The 22,618-nt window shown below is 36.9% G+C and overlaps 1 protein-coding gene and 1 long non-coding RNA gene across 3 annotated transcripts in view, besides 13 other annotated features; one reads left to right on the top strand and one right to left on the bottom strand.

Moving 5' to 3' along the window:
- Positions 142-248: an enhancer, noted in NCBI's record as "Beta-GRE". NCBI's record gives its function as "mediates induction by dexamethasone and Nr3c1" and the evidence as "EXISTENCE:reporter gene assay evidence [ECO:0000049][PMID:2210383]".
- Positions 142-448: a promoter, noted in NCBI's record as "-272/+34 promoter". NCBI's record gives the evidence for it as "EXISTENCE:reporter gene assay evidence [ECO:0000049][PMID:2169444]".
- Positions 169-188: a protein binding site, noted in NCBI's record as "GRE-0". NCBI's record gives the evidence for it as "EXISTENCE:protein binding evidence [ECO:0000024][PMID:2210383]".
- Positions 190-209: a protein binding site, noted in NCBI's record as "GRE-I". NCBI's record gives the evidence for it as "EXISTENCE:protein binding evidence [ECO:0000024][PMID:2210383]".
- Positions 215-247: a protein binding site, noted in NCBI's record as "GRE-II". NCBI's record gives the evidence for it as "EXISTENCE:protein binding evidence [ECO:0000024][PMID:2210383]".
- Positions 266-301: a protein binding site, noted in NCBI's record as "FXR site". NCBI's record gives the evidence for it as "EXISTENCE:protein binding evidence [ECO:0000024][PMID:23772048]".
- Positions 306-341: a protein binding site, noted in NCBI's record as "G3T Sp1 site". NCBI's record gives the evidence for it as "EXISTENCE:protein binding evidence [ECO:0000024][PMID:1446829]".
- Positions 334-363: a protein binding site, noted in NCBI's record as "USF site; -150/-121; inhibited by DNA methylation". NCBI's record gives the evidence for it as "EXISTENCE:protein binding evidence [ECO:0000024][PMID:16737450]".
- Positions 363-383: a protein binding site, noted in NCBI's record as "C/EBP footprint B". NCBI's record gives its function as "positive regulation of promoter activity" and the evidence as "EXISTENCE:protein binding evidence [ECO:0000024][PMID:2169444]".
- Positions 385-392: a TATA box. NCBI's record gives the evidence for it as "COORDINATES:motif similarity evidence [ECO:0000028][PMID:2167445]".
- Positions 393-404: a protein binding site, noted in NCBI's record as "C/EBP footprint A". NCBI's record gives the evidence for it as "EXISTENCE:protein binding evidence [ECO:0000024][PMID:2169444]".
- On the top strand, positions 414-16,844 carry ADH1B (alcohol dehydrogenase 1B (class I), beta polypeptide). 2 transcript variants are annotated; one of them, NM_001286650.2, is made up of 10 exons: positions 414-501; positions 901-1,022; positions 2,929-3,030; positions 3,631-3,769; positions 5,513-5,600; positions 5,698-5,917; positions 7,734-7,994; positions 10,159-10,294; positions 10,912-11,050; positions 13,951-16,844. In NM_001286650.2, exons 4-10 carry the CDS (start codon positions 3,631-3,633, stop codon positions 13,973-13,975), a joined length of 1,008 nt encoding a protein of 335 aa, NP_001273579.1. In that variant the 5' UTR covers positions 414-501; positions 901-1,022; positions 2,929-3,030; the 3' UTR covers positions 13,976-16,844. The 2 variants fall into 2 exon arrangements, with proteins under 2 accessions (NP_001273579.1, NP_000659.2); NM_000668.6 differs by lacking the exon at positions 901-1,022.
- Positions 2,912-4,111: an enhancer, noted in NCBI's record as "P300/CBP strongly-dependent group 1 enhancer chr4:100238861-100240060 (GRCh37/hg19 assembly coordinates)". NCBI's record gives its function as "activates an origin of replication core promoter dependent on BRD2, BRD4, P300/CBP, MED14 and CDK7 cofactors, with strong dependence on P300/CBP, by STARR-seq in HCT116 cells {active_cell/tissue: HCT116}" and the evidence as "EXISTENCE:reporter gene assay evidence [ECO:0000049][PMID:35650434]".
- Positions 10,958-11,459: an enhancer, noted in NCBI's record as "NANOG hESC enhancer chr4:100231513-100232014 (GRCh37/hg19 assembly coordinates)". NCBI's record gives its function as "activates a minimal SCP1, AML or CMV promoter by ChIP-STARR-seq in primed H9 embryonic stem cells {active_cell/tissue: H9 hESC(primed)}" and the evidence as "EXISTENCE:reporter gene assay evidence [ECO:0000049][PMID:30033119]".
- The window catches only part of LOC100507053 (uncharacterized), a 212,500-nt gene continuing 210,340 nt past the window's right edge, over positions 20,459-22,618 (bottom strand). The window contains exons 8-10 of the long non-coding RNA NR_037884.1: positions 21,445-21,516; positions 21,160-21,346; positions 20,459-20,864 (exon numbers count right to left, since the gene is read on the bottom strand). This is a non-coding gene — a long non-coding RNA (uncharacterized LOC100507053). The remainder of the gene's footprint in view (positions 20,865-21,159; positions 21,347-21,444; positions 21,517-22,618) is intronic.

The raw sequence follows: 22,618 nt of genomic DNA, 5'->3' as shown, positions 1-22,618 counted from the left end.
CTCTATCCTACTTCGTTTTTCCTGTTTTCTTACTCTTCTTCCTTCCTCGCCACCCCATGTGCATTCAAAGTTGCAGCTTAGTGCAGACAAAGGGAATACAAGGCAGAACGACCTATGTGGGATTGAAAGAAGAGAAACAAGGAATTCCAGAGGCCGGGGGGGGGTGGGAAGTGAGGAAAAGAGAAAGTGATTACAATTTATCACTTTAACTTAATATTTAAACTAATGAAAACAAAATCTTATCTAGAATTTGGAAGTCAATATTTTGATTGCTGGTTCAGTACCCTTTTATCTGTTTTGACAGTCTGGGAATAATCCAGTGGGTGTGGCTTAAAGACATAGATCACGTGTGGAATTGGAATTGGATGTTACACAAGCAAACAAAATAAATATCTGTGCAATATATCTGCTTTATGCACTCAAGCAGAGAAGAAATCCACAAAGACTCACAGTCTGCTGGTGGGCAGAGAAGACAGAAACGACATGAGCACAGCAGGAAAAGTAAGCAAAAAATATATTACTGTTGGTAATATATTCTCATCAATATAACAAAGAAAGGAATACAGTATTTGATGAATAATTTAAAATTCATATCTAAATTAGAAATGATATGCTGAAATATGATATGCAATATACACCTCAATATGTAATGTATACTGAACTGCAGTGGAAATAAGCTATTCTTAAGTACCTTTAACAGGAATGTATAGAACCTGTGTCTATTAGTCTTTATTTCCTACATTAAATAAATTTACAGTAAAATGATAGTTTATTCCAAGCTAATCATGACTGATTTGTAAATCTAAAGTTAGAAAAGTCTTTAATGGCAAGTTATCTTTATAATAAGAAACCATAATTCAAATGTGTTATTATTTTTATTCAAATTTTTTATGAACACAGGAAAGTTGTCTGACAGAAGTTTGATGAGAGGAATTTGACTCAGAAGACTGAAATATCCTTTAACCTTACTATAAAATATCTTACAAAATACTCATTGATTTCACAGCATTAGAATCATCAAGGTTAAGCAAGACATCAACATGCAAATTCTGATTAAAAGGGGTCCATTATGATACAATTCAGGGAATTTCCACAAAAATCCTATGGAACAGTATCTTCCCCATTTAAAAGTTAATATGGTTTTACAGAAAATCAATGATACAATTTGAATAATAATACAATTTGAATCACTTAGCACTAGGAATACAGATATTTGGTTTTTTCTTCTATAAATTTGTACTTATTTGCTCAATGTGTTTACAGGTGCATGTGGTCATTCAATATAATCAATTGATTTTTTTAATTGTTTAATTACATAAACCTGTGCAACTATGTCCAGTCCTTTTTTTGTGTTAGGAGTGTACCACACTGTAAAATATCTCACTATGATAATTCAATTTAAAGGTTCTGAGGCTTCTCTCTGCATTGTGTGACAAACAGGCTCATATCAATAAGACTGGTTGATGGAGCTAGAGGACGTTATTCTAAGTAAAGTAACTCATGAATGGAACACCAAATATCCAATGTTCTCACTTAAAAGTGGTAGCTAAACTATGAGGACACAAAGGATGAGAATGATATAATGGACTTTGGGGACTGAGGGAAAAGGGCAGTAGGAGGAATAAGACATAAAAGACTACATATTGGGTTCAGTCTACACTGCTTGTGTGAGGGGTGCACCAAAATATCAGAAATCACCACTAAAGAACTTATCCGTGTAACCAAAAACCATCTGCACCCCAAAAACTATTGAAATTAAAAATTAATCAATGAATAAATTTTAAGATAAAAATAATGCATGTAATTTACCCAGCACAGGTCACAATGTGCCTGTCACATCATAAGCACCTCATAATAAGAATCTTCCTACTATTAGTACCTTCTGTCTAAGTATTCTGGTATTTATTTTGGCATTGACCATGTTGAACATCCTACAAAGTTGAAAATTTTGACAAATAAATAATGAAAATGAATTGGCAGAAAAATAAATCTCAATTGAATTTTTAAATTATATTTGCAATTATGTTGGTTCTTTCTAGAAAGGGCTCTGCGAATTATACATGCTTTACCACAACGAAGATGGGTTTTACAGTACACTGCCAAGCACTAGAAATATATGCTGAACTTTATTTTTAAGAACATCTATGGATAAGCTCTGCTAAACAGAAATCCAAGCACACTGTTTCTCCAGTTTTAAAATATACATGCGTGGGTCTGAGTGTATACACACACACACACGTGCACACACACACACCACCAACTCTAATCTCTATAATATTTGGCTCAAATCTAAGCTGAAAGAAGTCTCTACACATAAATTAGATTACAAAACAGGCTGCCAAAGCTAAGTTTCAAATGAGTAGGAAACAAGTAGCACACAGAAGTAGTGGAGAGAGAAAATTAAAAGAGGACAATAAGCAAATAGGGAGAGAAAGAAATGTCATTGTGCGCAGGAAGGTAAATGTATAATTGCTCTTATAGAGTCAGATCCTTTTGGCCTAAGCAGAAAATTGAGCAATAAAGCAGTGTATTTTATGTAGACAGACACTGACTCTGTCAGCAAAATAAAGGTGACTTCTAACTTCATATATCAGCTAATAGTTGTGGGTAGACGAGCATTTTCAGGACGGCATTAGGAAATACCAGGAATAAACACCTTCAGAGAAAAAACAACAACATAAGAATGGCCTAAATAAATATATTCCATTTTTCTCAATGTCTTATTATACTTTGTTTATCTTTCCTTATGTTATTGCTTTTTAAAAGATACTTTTATTCTCTTTATAAACCAGAGTACTTCATTTCCATGGAGCACTTGTTAGGTACCAGACATGGGACGCAATATTACATGTACAAAGATGAAAAGACACAACTTATGACTTCAAGAGTGGGAAAACACTGTCACCATCTCTCTGTTTGATTTTCTAGGTAATCAAATGCAAAGCAGCTGTGCTATGGGAGGTAAAGAAACCCTTTTCCATTGAGGATGTGGAGGTTGCACCTCCTAAGGCTTATGAAGTTCGCATTAAGGTGAAATATTTTTCCATTTATATTTCATTTTACATTTAAAAAACTCAGAGAACATTAAAAATGGAAACATCCAAAAATCCACTAAGAGGCATATCTTATATGATCACCCAGAAGATAAAATTACATTTGTTGTCAAGGAAAGGTATAAATATAAATTTTAAATTTTTAAAAAATGATCAAAGAGTACATACAGTATAATTCCAGTAAAATACAAAAGAATTTATGTTTGTACAGAAAAAAATTCCAAAGGATATATATCAAGACTTCAAAATCAATTAATATTAGATATTTTCCATGTGTTACTTTGCTATTTCTACTTCTATTTTTTAAAGCGTGCATTCTTACATAAGACTTAAATATTTCAGAATCAATTATTTCACAGATTATTCTAAATTGTTTAATTCAAGAAGGGAAGGTAGAGAAGGGCTTTAGACTGAATAACCTTGGGGATAAACTGAATCTTTCATATTTAGGAATAGTAGGGATTAGTAGCAAAACCCTCAAATACATTTTAGAAACACAATTTCAGGAATTTGGGTATGTTAAATTCATCTAGTTACAATCTTTTCTGAATCTGAACAGCTTCTCTTTATTCTGTAGATGGTGGCTGTAGGAATCTGTCACACAGATGACCACGTGGTTAGTGGCAACCTGGTGACCCCCCTTCCTGTGATTTTAGGCCATGAGGCAGCCGGCATCGTGGAGAGTGTTGGAGAAGGGGTGACTACAGTCAAACCAGGTACAGGATTCACACTCAGGGAACACGTGTGGTTCACCATCCAGGATTTCCCAGCCTGGATAAGGAAACCAAGGCAATGAGAGACGAAAGTGCTTGCACAAGGTCACCGCGCAGCCAGGACTTCAGGAGTTTCCTCTTTCCCTCTCTGCCTGCCTGACCCAAGCATGTATGCATTCAGGCACTCATGTATTGTACCCTTCAACCATTATGTACCGAGTATCTACTAGAAGCCAGGCACCAGGTTAGAGCCTGGAGATATGTGAGGATCAAAAGAGACACAGTGCCTACCAGTGTGGCATTCATAGTCCAGTAATTCTGTGTTAGTGTTGGCTGAACACTGTCTTCTGTCAGGGCCCAGATAGAAGTAGAAACGGGAGGAGGGAAAAAAAGTAAATGTGGAAACTGTTCTGTGCTGAGTTCACAAAATGGAGGCTACATGGCTACGGATGAATAAACATGACCTTTTCTTAGGTGACCTATGCAGCTCCTTCACCAATTTCCTCTTCCAACATGGTGTCTCTTCCTGAGCATGGAATCAATGAAACAGGCTAGGTGAAAGGAAATGAAAGAAACGTAGAAGGAACCATCCCACCATCAACAATGTCTGCCTTGTTACCTTCAGCCATGCTTAAATGCAACTGGTTACAGATTACTAATTATTTCATCTTCAATATTTATTTTACCCTAAACTTATGTATTAATGTAAATACTTTTAGAAGTAAAGGGTTAATAACTAGGACATTGCCATACCATCATTTTCACATAAACTTTACCTATAAAATGTTAATGCACCAACAATTTTTCTTGATCATGTGGAATGTATAGCATAGGTGATTAGAAATAAAAATTATGTTTAATTTTAAAAAGTTGCTTTAGCCTGTAGATTCACCCTGCCCCCTTACCAAATACCAATTTAAACTGTGAACAGAAAATAATAAAATAAACTATCCAAAGTATGTTTTAGCTCTATTTTCTTTAGTTAGAAATAAATTAACAACAAAATGACAGCCTTACTTTTTACCCCTACTCCCTCCACCATAACAGGAAAAGTAGATAATTCGCAAATTATCAGCTAAAAATATTTGTTAAGTCCATTCTTATCCTAAAAGAAAGTGCCTAACTTGTTGTGAAGAGCTGAAGTTTTCAGAGAAATTTCTGGAATTCTTCTTTGTCCCATTTTTGTTTTTCTCAAAAAAAAAAGACCTAGGATTTTTTAAAGCATTCATTTCATAAAAAAAGATAAGCATAGTCACTTTGAAAAGTCAAGAATTGGTTAAAAATTCTCATATTTATTGTAAATCAATCTTTTACAAAATACCAGATCATCCCAATATCTACAGGCACTATAATAGATCACTTTCAACTAAAATTTATATTTATACTTATAGTAAGAATATTTAAGATTTAATTAGTTAAAGTTTAAATAAAAAGATGTTTGCAAAGCCTCCAGGAGAAATCAGTACACTGTGTAAAAGTTAACTATTAGTACAGTGGAAGTAATTTTTTTAATCTGTGTGGTCTCCCACATTTGCGATTTCTCAGTAGGAATCCTCAGGCACTTATAAACTCAAACTGAAAACAATGCTGTGGCAGGCATTGAAAGATGACATAGTTATTATTGAACTCTATTCCTTAAAGACTTTTAAAGAAACATGCTTCTAATCAATACATGTGAGCTTTAAGTCTTTGCTCTATTAATTACTGCATAGAAATTTAAGAAGAACTTGTTTTATTCCTCTCCAGGTGATAAAGTCATCCCGCTCTTTACTCCTCAGTGTGGAAAATGCAGAGTTTGTAAAAACCCGGAGAGCAACTACTGCTTGAAAAATGAGTAGGTTTCTGATGCTCTCTTTGCACAGACTTTGAGTTTGCACATTACTTATGCTCCTGTCTCATGCCTTTGTGTGTCTGTGTATTGCACTGCCCAGTCTAGGCAATCCTCGGGGGACCCTGCAGGATGGCACCAGGAGGTTCACCTGCAGGGGGAAGCCCATTCACCACTTCCTTGGCACCAGCACCTTCTCCCAGTACACGGTGGTGGATGAGAATGCAGTGGCCAAAATTGATGCAGCCTCGCCCCTGGAGAAAGTCTGCCTCATTGGCTGTGGATTCTCGACTGGTTATGGGTCTGCAGTTAACGTTGCCAAGGTGAGAATGACAATGGGTGATAAAACTGCTTACATGCAGACTGTCGGAAACCAAAAGGGAAGCAATTTCTTGCAAGAATCAGAAATTATTTTTGTAGATTTAAAGTGTCGATTATGAGTAGAAAAATGGCCCAGAAAGAATTGAGTACACATGCTAGAAATTTCACCAATTTATTGCAGATAAAAAGTTGTTACGAATAAAGATGTCATTTACAATAATTTTTCTTCTGAATTTGCTGTTTATGGGATCATGAAATTTTAGACCTAAGAATTCATTTAGTAATTCATTCAACGATTAGAGAGCACCTATAAATGCCTCAGGCACCATAGGTTCTGCTAGGCTCTGACAGCAAAAGTAAATGAAATGAAGCGTTTGCCCTTGAGGACCATCTAGTCTGTGGATCCTCTCCTCCCAGAAATAGGATCAACAGTAGAGTCCAAAACCTTACCTGATGCACCTCCAAACCAAGGCTCACCCACTCTGTGGATTCTTAGACGGAAAGTAATAAAGACTCAGTGATGCATAATTCACTCATTATGGGATTTCACTGCTAAAACTAACTCCCCTGGCATGAACACACACATATACTTCAGAAGTGGTAAATTTCAAGCAGAAATTCTTTAAAGGCTCCTCATCTGAGTAGGCTGAAAATCTAGTAGTATGCTTTATTTTATGAAACCGAGGTTCAGATATATAAAGATATTTGCCCAAAGCCTCAGTGCTGAGACTAAAATATATTTTTAATATGAGAGCTGAGACTAAAATATCTTTTTCAAATCTCCTGCTGAATCTTAGCTCGCAATACATAATTATTAGTGTTTTTAAATCACAGTCACAAGTCTTGTGTTTTTCTAAGTAAGGTAGAAAATGGTGTTGTCCCCCATAGTATGAATAATATTTGGTGAATGAATGAGTGAATAGACACCCTTAAGGGAATATAAGGATGAGATTACTTGGGACAGGAAAGCATGTTACCCACAATGAAGACTGACTATGGGAGACTAGGTTTAATAAATAGCCCCTAGCCAACCACAAAGAAAAAATTCAGAAGGCATCTTTTCCAAATTTCTGTGACTTTAGCACTTAGCCCCTTGTTCAGTTGCCTCATACGTGTTAGCAGATGGTCAAAGTGATCCTACCCAAGAACAGAAGATGAGGATACTCATAACAATAGATTGTATTTGTTATTGAAATATAGACAAACATTTCATTGCTGTGTTGTTCGCTAGTGTATTTTTAAAGCAGGGATATACTGGTCACAACTACCGAACATAAATGAACCAATGAGTTAATTACTGAGGGCTTAAGTGGAATATTTTTCAGTCTCCTGGAGTAGCCTTTTCCACTTATTTTGTTTTCCAAATATTGCCGTTGTGTATGTATGAGTTACTGAAGCTGGCTATCAAGGGATTTCAGCAATTGACAGTCCCTTCAAGATTGTAATCACTGCCATCTGGATCTCAAAGATCATCCAGTCCCCTGGTTCCCAGCCTGACCTTCCCATTGGAGTCACCTGGGGACTGAGTCCACCTGCAGAGATTCCTCATTTAATTGACATGGGCTGTGACCTGGACTGTGGGATATTTTGTAAAGCTCCCCAGATGAATCTAATATGCATCAGTTTGAAAACCACTCAACTAGTTCATCCCCTTGAATTTAAAAATAAAGCAACTGAAGCCAAAAGAGGTTTTGATAAACGGTTGGACAAAAGAGTCTGAGTAGTTCTTGATAAACACCTACGCATGGCACTTTATGAAGCTTAGGCACTTTCTAACAATCATCACTTAATCTATTTTTGCATTTTCTGAAAACACAGGTCACCCCAGGCTCTACCTGTGCTGTGTTTGGCCTGGGAGGGGTCGGCCTATCTGCTGTTATGGGCTGTAAAGCAGCTGGAGCAGCCAGAATCATTGCGGTGGACATCAACAAGGACAAATTTGCAAAGGCCAAAGAGTTGGGTGCCACTGAATGCATCAACCCTCAAGACTACAAGAAACCCATTCAGGAAGTGCTAAAGGAAATGACTGATGGAGGTGTGGATTTTTCGTTTGAAGTCATCGGTCGGCTTGACACCATGGTATGTACCATGACATGCCCTGAGATTTCTGCCTCTGCAACCTGGAAGATGCATTTAGGCAGCAAAATATATGTTTTATGTATAAAGGATATTTTTAATGATGAATGGAAATTTCCCATCATCTGTTTGTTATGTGGCTTGTTTAATTTTTGTTATGAGAAATCTTCTCTTCCATCAATTACCCAAACCTGTCTCAAGTCATATTTCCTCTAGAGGAAAAGAAAAGGGTTTGTTTTTCTTAACTGAGCAATTATAGATTTACTTTATTAATTTTTAGTTAAAAAATATAAGTTCAAGTAAACATAAATAATATAAATTCTGTTCTCAAATTGGAATGTTTTATTTTTCTCCTACATTCTTAACAAAAATGGTTTAACAATTTTGCCTATGTTCTTAATAAATTTCAGATTTTTAACATGTTAGTATTTGGCCAAAGGAAATGAGCAATTTTAGGCCAACTGCTGTTTTATTAACAAAAATATGCCCTAAGGAAATTGACTGCTTTAAGACATCACTGTATTTTATCACAGAAACTGGACAGTGCCTGGCACATAGCTAGTACCCAATATTAGTTGGACTGAATACTTTGAAAAGTCAGCAGTCTCTACTAAAAATACAAAAATTAGCCAGGTATGGTGGTGTAGTGCATACCTGTAATCCCAGCTACTCCGGAGGCTGAGGCAAGAGAATCACTTGAACCCAGGAGGCGGAGGTTGCAGTGAGCCAAGATCGCGCCATTGCACTCCAGCCTGGGTGACATAGTGAAACTCTGTCTCAAAAAAAAAAAAGAAAAAAGAAAAAAAAGAAAAGTCAACAGACTTTACCAACCCCCAGAATTTAAAAGCTACGTATCTCATAGCATTGCTTATAGATTACATGAGACAACGCATGTGATATACTTAGCACAGTGCCGCCTGTCATATGGTAAGCTCCCAATAAATGTCAGCTGACTTTTTTTTCTTTTTTTTGAGACAGGGTCTCACTCTGTCACCAAGGCTGAAGTGAAGTGGCATAATTATAACTCGCTGCAGCCTCAACCTCCTGGGCTCAAGTGATTCTCCTACCTCAGCCTCCAAAAATGCTGAGAGTATAGGCACAAGCCACCACACTCAGCCTCAGTTGGCATTATTGATATGAAATACTATTTCCAATCTTGCAGTGCTTACATCATCTTTGGCTTATTACATGGTATTTCTTCCAAACAGTTACAAATATCAATTGCAATGGGAAACACATCTCTAGCTATATTTCACCTACCCAGAATTCTCTAGAATCCTACTGAAAATGTCTCCAGAAACCAACAAGTTTCCATTGCTGAGGTTTTCTAGAAGGTCCAGCAGTGTGGGTAACAGGGAGTGGCACCCTAAGATCAAAGCTCTCGGCAGCCTTGACCTAGGACAGATGCCACAGAGGAATAAAATGTCAAGAGAATTCAACTTTTTCCAGGGCTACAGCTTTTCTCTTTATGCTCCTTTTCTATATTTTCATCCATTTTCTCATGTGGAACTGGAGTGTACCTTATCTTAAGATACCAAGTGTCTGACAGCCACATGTTCTGAGGATGTCTGGTCTCCCAAAGGTCAGAATCCAAAATCAAAGAACTAATCATTATATTCCTACGGGGATCTTTAACCATTTTCTAACTACAGAACATGTTCCAAGAACTGACTGGAAAACATTTTCTGAACTGTTTCTTGAGGTTCCCAAATGATCAGTGTATTTTAATGTAAAATCAATATATATTTGGGGAGGTAAAAAAACAATGTTTAAAACATGTCCGTTTGAGAAATGGACAGTAGAATAGGAATCCACTTAAGAGGGAGACCGTCAAGTGGACAGGAGACAAATTTCGGTGATATAATTGTTTATCTTGTTCACCGTCAAAATATCTGGTTGAAAGTACTGGGTTCAAAATACCTTTATTAGGAAGAATTAAGCACACTCCAATTTATTCATCCATTCTTTCATTAAAAAACCATTTTCTGGGCATTTCCTGAATCCACAGCACTATCCCGTGCAAAAAAGGGGAATGAAGGATCAAAAGACATGATCTCTTCCCTCTACACACTCACAATCCAGTTAAGCCTATTACATGATATTGTGCATTATGAGTAGGAACTATGCGACTCCACGTTAAGGATGCTAAATATTCACTTTATTCCAGATGGCTTCCCTGTTATGTTGTCATGAGGCATGTGGCACAAGCGTCATCGTAGGGGTACCTCCTGCTTCCCAGAACCTCTCAATAAACCCTATGCTGCTACTGACTGGACGCACCTGGAAGGGGGCTGTTTATGGTGGTATGTAGTTGGGCTCAAGTGCCAAATTCTCATTAATCTCAATATATCTCATTAATCTCAATATAATCTCAATATATATGCCCTTTTACAATTGACAAGGCAAGATTTTGAAAACAAATCAAAAATAAATTTAAATTCCTTTTCTATCTACAGTCTCCAAATCAACTAGATATGGAACTAATGCAGACAGAAGGTCCCAATATAGACTTTTTTCTGTTGTCACCATAACCCAGGACCTTTAATCTCCATCTGTTTTTGTACTTGTGACTGTGTAAGGCATGGAAATTTTTAGTAGAACATGCAAATCTACAACAATATTTCATATCTACACCCAAATTTAGACAACTGATAAATTTGCTCCTCTACCTTGGGCATAAACTTCTGTACTATTATTTCTATGGGAGAGACAAAATAACTAAGAACCTTCGTTTATCTGTGATTTTTTTTAAGTCAAGACACTGTAAAAGCATATTGAAGTACTGTATCTCTTCTTATCCTCAGTTATAGCAGTCTGGAATGGAGCACCTTTTCTAAACTTTGATTTATTTGGAAAATCTTCTCTTCAATTCTCCTACTTACCCTAGCTGAATCCAACAATGATACTGTCTTCTTTTCAGGCTTTAAGAGTAAAGAAGGTATCCCAAAACTTGTGGCTGATTTTATGGCTAAGAAGTTTTCACTGGATGCGTTAATAACCCATGTTTTACCTTTTGAAAAAATAAATGAAGGATTTGACCTGCTTCACTCTGGGAAAAGGTAGATTTTAAGTTAGTTTTCTGTTTTGCTTTTTTTTCTACCATAGGGGATTGTCTAGCAGAGAATGAAAAAGGTGGAAAGATGAGAAAATATAGAGTCCCTTGGTTTTCCATTACCAGTTCAGTCTTTGCATGGAGCGTATGTAGGATCATACTGTGAGAAGTTGAAAACAGTTGCTTTGCATTTCCTATTCTGCTGGAGTCAAATTACGTTGATTACTGCAAATCTGAATGATCAGAGCCACTCAGCCTTCCTGAAAAGAGAACACTCACATTTGCCCAAAAAAAACCCCACAAAAAAACAAAAGTCTATTTAAACAGCCATAATTATAACATGGTGTCTTTGAAGCCTCTTCCTTCTACCTATATAAAGCTGACACTAAGTGTCTGCATATTTAAATAATTTTCAGGACATCCTCAACATTTTCATTACAGGAGTAGGTGGAACTACATTGGGATTGTTTTCTAGGTAGATATTACTAGTTTTTCTCTTTTTCTTTTTCTTTTGTAGTTTAAGAAAAAATTTTTTACCACTGAAAGTTATCATAAAAGAGTAGTAAATACTATTTTAAATGTTTGTCTTACATTTTCTCTGAAGCTTAGAAAAATAAGCCAATTCTATTTCCTACCTCTAACATTTAACACTTACAACCAGCTATTAAAATGAATTTTGTCACCTGCATTTACATGAGGCACAACTGGAAACAGGCAGTTATATCTAACCTTTGCCTTCTAGCTCCAGAGTCTTAGATTCTTCTGCTATCCCACACTTACTTTCATGAGGTTTTCAACTTTAAATAGTGTTTCTTTGGCACTCACAAAATCATTATACTAGGTACTTTAACCGACAACATTCTTGAGGAAGGAAAGAAACTAGCACCCACCGAGCACCAGCTGTTCTATTAAGTGTCTTACCTGCATTATCTCCTGTGATTCCCAAACAATGCTCAGTGTCAGTCTCAATCTCACTATCTTAGAGAACAGAAACTGAGACTCGGAGAAGACATGACTTTGCCAAAATCATCAAGTGGTAGGAAGGGGAGGCAGAATTCAAAAGTAGATCTTGTTTTTAGCAAATCGATTCACTTTCTATTAAACCACACCGCCCCTCAAGAGTGCATGTACATATGGAAAACAGTAGTCATCAAAGGTTAGTTATCAGTCATTATTATTACCATTGACATCATCATTGGGATCATCATCATCATAGGATTGAAAAGATGATGGCAAATATAGAGATGAACAAAACCAGAGGACAGTGTTGAGCAACATAAGAAGTCATGAAGCATGCCTAAATTCACTTTATGAGAATGTCATATAGTAATATGCATATGTAAATATAATTAATCCTATCAATAAGCAAAGATTAAAAATTATAATATTCAATATTGGTAAGAATAAGGTGAGTTGGGCACTTTCATGTACTTTCAGTAGTAATTGATACATACTTTTGGAAAAGCAATTTGGTAATATATATCAGAAACCTTTAAAAAATAACTGAATCCTTTGCCCCAGCAATTCCATTTCTAGAAATCTATTCTACAGAAATAATCAACTAGTCAAACATGCATATATGTTTACTTGTTAGAACTTTAGAAACATTCTAAAGTTCAACACAAGGAAAATAATTTCATAAATTCCAGTCATCTATTAGAAATAAATGAAACCATCAAAAAGAAATGACTTCATTGGGATATTCTCATGATGTAATTTTAGACTCATTTAATGAAGAATATAAATTGTATATGTTGTATATGCAATGTCTCAAATTTTCTTTTTTTATATTTATTTTATTATTATTATACTTTAAGTTTTAGGGTACATGTGCACAATGTGCAGGTTAGTTACATATGTATACATGTGCCATGCTGGTGTGCTGCACCCATTAACTCGTCATCAAAAACAGTAAAACATGCACAGATTTCTAGAAAAAAGTTCATAGAAATTCAAGAAAACATTGAGAATGATTATTTCTAGGTTGTGGGATTATGGATTTCTTTTACTTTCTTCTTCCTGCTGTCTTGTATTCTCTGAATTATGTGCATATATATTTCTCATATATGCATATGCATATACATATATATGTTAAAAATTATTAAAGAGTCACAAAGACCATCATTTTCTAAAAATATGTATTCATGAGAAGTTGGTTTATAGAAAGGGCATTAGTTCTAGTGTAAATGTTCCATTTGTAATCTTCACAAGAATGAACTATCTTAGAATTAATACAAATCAACTTTATTCTCTACTTCTACAAATCCTTAAACATCCGTATCAAAGGTCTTTTAAACTTCCAGCATAGTCTTAACTTTGTTAAATTATCAATTCTTTCAGGCAAGTTATCCATCATCTTATAATTTTTGCAAATTTGTATTTGGGTTTGAATCCCAACACTCCATACTAGATGTGCTACCAGAGCAAGTTACAAATCTTTCTAAGTCTCAGTTTTTATAATCTCTAAAATGGACATAATATGGGAACCTACCTCTTAGTGTTGATGTTTAGGTTGAAGTTTAAGAAAATGCACGAAGAATGTGACAAATAGTAAGAACTTACTGCAAGTTATTATCCACTGTTGTTTTATATTCCTTATTATACCAGGAACGTGGGCACACAAAAATGATTTTTTGAAGATGCTAATGTAGAATTAATGTAGAATTGAAATGACAGGCATACTCAGGATGTTGTGAGTGAGATTAAGATTGGAGAAAAAAAGAAAAGAAAAGAAAACCAAAAAAGATGAACTTCCTTTTTCTTGAACCAAATGTATGGGGATGGAAATAGGGTAGCTGGGATCACAGACAGATTTTCACTAAGACACCTCAGATGCTCCTTGGACTCTCACAACAAGCATGTGGGTTGTCTAAATGTTAACACAATGTCTCTTCTTTCCTATTGCAGTATCCGTACCGTCCTGACGTTTTGAGGCAATAGAGATGCCTTCCCCTGTAGCAGTCTTCAGCCTCCTCTACCCTACAAGATCTGGAGCAACAGCTAGGAAATATCATTAATTCAGCTCTTCAGAGATGTTATCAATAAATTACACATGGGGGCTTTCCAAAGAAATGGAAATTGATGGGAAATTATTTTTCAGGAAAATTTAAAATTCAAGTGAGAAGTAAATAAAGTGTTGAACATCAGCTGGGGAATTGAAGCCAACAAACCTTCCTTCTTAACCATTCTACTGTGTCACCTTTGCCATTGAGGAAAAATATTCCTGTGACTTCTTGCATTTTTGGTATCTTCATAATCTTTAGTCATCGAATCCCAGTGGAGGGGACCCTTTTACTTGCCCTGAACATACACATGCTGGGCCATTGTGATTGAAGTCTTCTAACTCTGTCTCAGTTTTCACTGTCGACATTTTCCTTTTTCTAATAAAAATGTACCAAATCCCTGGGGTAAAAGCTAGGGTAAGGTAAAGGATAGACTCACATTTACAAGTAGTGAAGGTCCAAGAGTTCTAAATACAGGAAATTTCTTAGGAACTCAAATAAAATGCCCCACATTTTACTACAGTAAATGGCAGTGTTTTTATGACTTTTATACTATTTCTTTATGGTCGATATACAATTGATTTTTTAAAATAATAGCAGATTTCTTGCTTCATATGACAAAGCCTCAATTACTAATTGTAAAAACTGAACTATTCCCAGAATCATGTTCAAAAAATCTGTAATTTTTGCTGATGAAAGTGCTTCATTGACTAAACAGTATTAGTTTGTGGCTATAAATGATTATTTAGATGATGACTGAAAATGTGTATAAAGTAATTAAAAGTAATATGGTGGCTTTAAGTGTAGAGATGGGATGGCAAATGCTGTGAATGCAGAATGTAAAATTGGTAACTAAGAAATGGCACAAACACCTTAAGCAATATATTTTCCTAGTAGATATATATATACACATACATATATACACATATACAAATGTATATTTTTGCAAAATTGTTTTCAATCTAGAACTTTTCTATTAACTACCATGTCTTAAAATCAAGTCTATAATCCTAGCATTAGTTTAATATTTTGAATATGTAAAGACCTGTGTTAATGCTTTGTTAATGCTTTTCCCACTCTCATTTGTTAATGCTTTCCCACTCTCAGGGGAAGGATTTGCATTTTGAGCTTTATCTCTAAATGTGACATGCAAAGATTATTCCTGGTAAAGGAGGTAGCTGTCTCCAAAAATGCTATTGTTGCAATATCTACATTCTATTTCATATTATGAAAGACCTTAGACATAAAGTAAAATAGTTTATCATTTACTGTGTGATCTTCAGTAAGTCTCTCAGGCTCTCTGAGCTTGTTCATCCTTTGTTTTGAAAAAATTACTCAACCAATCCATTACAGCTTAACCAAGATTAAATGGGATGATGTTAATGAAAGAGCTTCGCCAATTAAGAAGGGCCATGTAAATGTGGGTAACCTGATTGTTTTGTCAAAAATGCTAAAGCGGGGTGGGGGGTGGCGCAGTGGCTTATCCCTGTAATCCCAGCACTTTGGGAGGTCAAGACGGGTGGATGACCTGAGGTCAGGAGTTTGAGACCAGCCTGGTCAACATGGTGAAACCCCATCTCTACTAAAAATACAAAAATTTGCCAGGCATGGTGGCAGGTGGCTGTAATCCCAGCTACTCAGGAGGCTGAGGCAAGAGAATCGCTGGAGCCTGGGAGGCGGAGGTTGCAGTGAGCAGAAATCTTGCCACTGCACAGCAGCCTAGGCGACAAGAGCAAAACTCTGTCAAAAGAAAAGAAAAGAAAATGCTGAAGGAGTTACTCAGGGTCAAGAAAGTTTTCAGAATGTCCGTAAGATAACATCATCATGGGACACTACCTGTTGCTGGGTGCTCTGCGGCTTTTACACTGATGCTGATTGTGTGAGATCCAGAAAAAGAAAATGGAGTTCTACATGCCCATCTCACAGCAGGGTCATCAAATCCTGCTAGTGACACAGAAGCTGACATCCAGCTCCCACCCGCCTTCCTCCCAGGTTCGGGGAGCAGGTAGAGTGGGAGCCATTAGGTGGGCTCTGCCAGTGTTGTCATAGAGTGGCAAGTCCTCCATGGGATGGGAGTGGCATGTGGGAGCCTTCTGCATCATGCACTATGAAAAAAGAAAATTTACTATGGGGCAAGTGGTTCATATAGTTAAGTGATTGTATATATATATATATATATATATATATATATATATATATATATATATACACTATGGGGCAAGTGGTTCATATAGTTAAGTGATTGTATATATATATATATATATATATGTATTCCAGTGTAGAAAGTATTGGCTGGGTCTGTAATCAAGTATTCCACAGAAGTGCCTTCATAGGTGCTGAAACAGGATTATGAGAGTGACAGACACAGGACTGAAGACAGGGAGAAAATGTGCATGGCTGTGAGAATATATTGCTTTGATTCTTTGACTTCTCATGATATATGAAAACAAATAAAGTGGGGGGGGGTGACTTCAATAATATCACGAACATATTTAAAATGAAATTCTGAGCATGGAGAAAAATTTCAAATTCTGGTATAAACAAATAATCTAAAAATATAGATAAGGAAAAAATGTTTTCATTTTTTTGGTCATATTGATTTGGGTCATATATGATTGACCAAAAAAAAAGATATTTCTAAAATCCTGGTGCTTTTTCATTTAAAAATAGACAACCAAAGAGGAAAATGAACAATGATGGAAATTCGTGGAAGAGGAAACTAAAATGGCAAAATAGCATATTAAATGGCACTGAGCCTTGGTGTGATCAAAAAAAAAAATAAAGCAAAATGAGATATTACTGCTTACCTATTAGCTTATGCTGTTGGTAGAAATAAATGTGCATTGTCATAGGTTTCTGACAAACAATTTGTGATTTTTATTAAAATTTTAAACATGCATATCCCAAGCAATATCACACTTGGGAATTGACTCCATAATTATAATTATCTGTGTATAAGAATATAGAAACAAGACTATTAGCAGCAGCCTTACTTGTAGAAGAAACAAAAATTTTTAAACTCTCTGATTGATTGACAGAATAAGGAATGATAACGGAATGATAACTCCCTATTTTGAATGGGAATTTTTTTTTTTTTTTTTTTTGAGACGGAGTCTCGCTGTCGCCCAGGCTGGAGAGCAGTGGCGCGATTTCGGCTCACTGCAGGCTCCGCCCCCCGGGGTTCACGCCATTCTCCTGCCTCAGCCTCCCGAGTAGCTGGGACTACAGGCGCCCGCCACCTCACCCTGCTAATTTTTTGTATTTTTAGTAGAGACGGGGTTTCACAGTATTAGCCAGGATGGTCTCGATCTCCTGACCTCGTGATCCGCTCGCCTCGGCCTCCGAAAGTGCTGGGATTACAAGCGTGAGCCACCGCGCCCGGCCTTGAATGGGAATCTTATTAAAAAAAAAAAAATAGGGGACTGGGCATTGTGGCTCATACCTGTAACCCCGGTGCTTTGGGAGGCCGAGGCAGGTGGATCACTTGAGCTCAGGAGTTCCAGACTAGCCTGGACAACATGGCAAAAACCTGTCTTTACAAAAAAACACAAAAATTAGCCAGGCATAGTGGCATGCAACTGTATTCCCAGCTACTTGGGAGGCTGAGGTGGGAGGATCGCTGGAGCCCAGGAGGCACAGGTTGCAGTGAGCCATGATGGCACCATTGCACTCCAGCTTGGGCAACAAAGCAAGTCCTCATTTCAAAAAAAAAATTTTATCTAAAAATCTGGAGAAATTAATATGAAGCATCAGAAAGTATAAAAAGCAAGGTACAGAATAATGTGTATTACATGATCCAATTTTTGTGAAAGAAAAAACAAAACAAATTAAAATTCCTATTTATTAGTATATAGGTTCATATGAGCATGGAGAAAGACATAGAAATGTATAAAACAGGCTGTTCCCCTCAGAAACCTGGATCTGAAAAGAGTTGAAAAACTAAAGTTAACTTTTGAGCCATAACTGTTTTGAACTAATATTATGTAATTTCTTTACATACTATTTTTGAAAGTCTTGAATAGAGGCAGGACAATGAACTTTAACAATTTCTTCAAGAATGTCAATCGCATTCTTTAATCATTTGTAGGAGCTTGACATCAATATTGTCAGTTATGATGAGATTTATGACTTTATTACTTTTTTACCTCATAAAGAAACAGTAATGAAAGATTCTAGCTGCCAACATGTATATGTAATTGTGAACTAATTTAAAGGTACTGTAATTGAGATTTTAATCACTTAAAAAAAAAAACTGACCACATAAAGGTCAAAATAATATAAACTATCACAGCCACCTCTAAAGCCTTGGGATGATATTACTCATAGAGTCATAGAAATGTTTTTCTTACGGTGAAACCCCGTCTCTACTAAAAATACAAAAAATTAGCCGGGCGTAGTGGCGGGCGCCTGTAGTCCCAGCTACTTGGGTGGCTGAGGCAGGAGAATGGCGTGAACCCGGGAGGCGGAGCTTGCAGTGAGCCGAGATCCCGCCACTGCACTCCAGCCTGGGCGACAGAGCGAGACTCCGTCTCAAAAAAAAAAAAAAAAAAAAAAGAAATGTTTTTCTTACTGGATCATTCAGGAACCTAAGATTATCAATGGCAGACATATAAGTCTGGATATAAGAAAATTCTCCTAGGCCTTAATAGAAAACTTTCAGAGCTATTAAACATGAAATTATTATAAGGTCAAATAGATTTTTGGCTATAGACTCGCAAGATTAATGCAAACAAGCTTTTGGAGTTACTTGGTTACCTGGGTAGTCCTGGATTTTGCCTTTTTTCTCCCAAGACGCTTATAATTGGATTTTTTTTTTGAGACGGAATCTCGCTCTGGCCCAGGCTGGAGTGCAGTGGCGCGATATCTCGTCTCACTGCAAGCTCCACCTCCCGGGTTCACGCCATTCTCCTGCCTCAGCCTCCCGAGCAGCTGGGACTACAGGCGCGCGCCACCATGCCCGGCTAATTTTTTGTGTGTGTATTTTTAGTAGAGGCGGGGTTTCACCGTGTTAACCAGGATGGTTTCGATTACCTAACCTCGTGATCCGCCCGCCTCGGCCTCCCAAAGCGCTGGGATTACAGGCGTGAGCCACCGCGCCTGCGCTCAATTCTCAAGAGATTTTTTTTTTTTTTTTATGATATCATAGTCTTCTTTCATGCATATATCTTTTCTCTTTGTAAATAATAACAGCTTTTAAAAACATTTTGTATTTTTTCACTTCATGGATTATTTCTTCTAACTTCTTTTTTCTTTGCTTTGTTTCTATCTTTCCTATTACAAAGCTGGAATCACTCCACATTTCTGATGATCTTGGTTGTCTTCTGTTGCAGGATGGGGCACTAACGAGCTATCGGGAAGCTCTGAATACATGGGTGGCATCTGTGTCATGTGAGATTTGCTATAGAACTCTCTGGTGGGATTAATTGCTGGGGAATATAATGTCAGTAAGGGTGGGTATTTTCTCTTGGGCTGGTCAGATTTTTCAAAGGATGATTTTGGAAGTTTCCGTGCAGAAGACACATGCCCAGCTGCCAGCACTCTGGGGCCCAAGAGGGCAATTGAGAATTGAAAATCATCACAGCAGAGTAGAAATCCAATAGAAACATAAAAGATCTCAATAAATTTATGCCGTGGTGTACCTTTTCTCCAGACGATAACTAATGAAGTGCCCCCAAACTGATGATTCAAAGAAAGGTGTGATATCTGACAAGCTGATGCTCTCACCCTGGGGAGAGGGAAGGGATTCCCCAGGACTAGGGTGAGGAGGCTCCAGGATGGCAGGTGTGGCCAGAGGCAAAGCACCTCCCGCCCACATGGGAGTAAGTCAAAGGCTCCAGAGAGATACGCAGCTGGGAATAAAATTTCCAGAGACTGTATCAACAATCATGGTGTGTCTCAAGCAATTTAAACGGAAATAAAGTTGACGTGTTCTCAAAAATATGCTAAAAAACTCAAAAGTGGCTTTAAAGCTGACATAGACATATAAAATATGTGTCTATGAAAATAATAGTAGAACCTACCTCATAGAGTTATTCTGAGGTTTACATGAGTACATAATTTGAACCAACCATTTGGAACAGCAACTGGCACATGCTGAGAGTGGCAAGGATATTACCTATTATTCTTTAGGTTATTAAACTCTAGAGTTAGGCTTCGTGGAATCCTGGCCCCACCACTAGCTGTGTTACATTGGGAAATTGATGCAATCTCTCTAAACCTCAATGTCTTCATCTGTACAATGTGCATGGCAATGGCATTTACCTCATAAGTTAATGCTAAACATTGCACTAAATGAGGCAATGTATGCTCAAAAATGAGCATAGTCAGCACTCCATAAATGTTAGCTATAAATAGTAATAATTTGTGCTTTTTACAAAAATTTATATTTTAACTTCAAAAAGGAAAACAATCTCCACCATTAAAGAACTCTTTAATTTTTAGATACTTTTATATTGCGACAAACATACCATTTGTATTACTCTGTATTGTTTTAATAAACACTTGGTATTTCTACATCATCTCAGTAATTACATGTTTAAGCATCTGCCAAGAACATTTTCAGGATAATTTAAAATACATCAATACATCATCAAAACACTTTTGGAACATTCAGATGGTTTGTAGTTTGGTTCTCACAGAGAAGACTGGATGGTACATCTTTGTTTTTGGATTGGGCTTCTTAGGTTATTTCCCAACTCCCTTCACAGGAGGAATGTAAGCAAACATTTTGATCTCTCACACATGCTCTTCTTGGCAGGATTCCAGGCTCCACAGCCGCTGCAAGACCAGCAAGTATTTCCGCTCCCTCGACATCTTGGGCTTCAGTACCAAAATCAAAATGAAATGCTAATTGAGTAGGGATTGATGGCTTTGAATGTGGCATTTTCAAAAATTTCTCTAGGAACTTAAAATGTATTCTATTTATTGCAGTGTGCTATAGAGTATGCATCTATTCCATTCTCAAGTTCTGTTTACTGCTACTAAAGTCCCTCTCCCAATTTTCATTTTGCACCTCATCCCAAAACATGCTTTAAGGTTGTTATTTATGCACATACATGAACTGTTACAATTCTTTCTAGCAATCTTTACAATAATATTAATCTCATTATCTTACCAAGTTATTTAACCCCCAAAATGAAGGATTTGAACTGAAGATAATTTCTGCAAGTTACAGTATTCTTTGTCAGGCCCATGTAAATTATGGACCTCTGCGGAAAAGAAGACAGTTGGATCTCTTGCAGGGATGCTGGTCTGTCCTTCTCCAGGCTTTGGAGTCACATCTTCGCACTGCTCATCATTACCTGTATAATTATATTAGAGATGCCAATCCTTGCCTTCCACTAACCTTCCAAGAGAGCTTGTGGTAATTTGTTACGTCAGCAATAGAAAATTAACACACCTCTGTTGCAAACATGGCCATCTAGGATCTGCGGGTAGGCACATCTCCGTCTTTGATCTCAGCCTGGAAAAGCTCATCAATTTTAAGAAGCCATAAGATTAGATTAGGTTCACCTGGATAATCCAAGCTAATCTTCCCATCCCAAGACCTTTAACTGAATCATATCTACAAAATCCATTTTTGCCCTGTAAAGCAACATATTTCTAGATTCCAGGGATTGGGAGCGGACTTCTTTGAGGGCCATTATTCTGCCTACCAGGCAGAGGATCACTCCCCCAAAGTGAATCAAGTATATCATCTCCCTGGATAAGCTAAATTTAGAATATGGTACTTTGTGAAAATGTAATATAGAATCAGGTTGGCTTGCAGAGACACACATAGAGAGAGAAGTAGAGGAAAGTGATGCCCTGTGATCCCCAGAGATTGACAGGGTTACCTGTGGACATTCCAGATGTTGCTCCAGAGGGCCTGCTATGGCCCTCTGATACTAGAACACTGGCTTTCAATAATGTGGCAACTGCTCTTCCCACCTGCCCATCTAAACGTTTAGAAGGTGGGACAAAGAGTAAGCACAGAGTAGTTGCCAGATGGTATTAAGAAAGATCTCCTGACTGTATGGAGTTTATCCCAAAGTGCTTTCGGTATTTCATGGAGCCATATGCTCAAAATGTGATGGAAGCTCATAAGTGGATACCACATTTCCAAATTCATTATGGCCTTGAAAACAAGGTGGTAGTGGCTATAATTCCCTTAAATGCTAGGTCTCCATATGCGAGAGATGATTAAACAGAAAAATGAATAAAAGGGTGTATGAAAGGGAAAAAATGTATTCAATATTATTTGTCCATACTGTTGATTGCATATATACCTTTCAATTCCATCTCATCTTTCTTGATAAATCCTTTTTGGGGGGTAACTGATAATTTTATTTTGGGATTGATAACAGGTTTTTTACTTTTATTTATTTATTTTTTCTATTTCAATAGGTTTTGGGGGAACAGGTGGTGTTTGGTCACATGAATAAGTTCTTTGGTGGTGATTTCTGAGATTTTGGTGCACCCATAACTTGAGCAATGTACACTGTACATAGTGACTAGGTTTTATCCCTGACCTCCCTCCCACCCTTATCACTGAATCCTCAAAGTCCATTGTATCATTCTTTTGCCTTTGTGTC

This window comes from Homo sapiens, chromosome 4, assembly GCF_000001405.40.
Source record: "Homo sapiens chromosome 4, GRCh38.p14 Primary Assembly".
NCBI lineage: Eukaryota > Metazoa > Chordata > Mammalia > Primates > Hominidae > Homo > Homo sapiens.
This window is presented reverse-complemented; position numbering and strand designations above follow the sequence as displayed.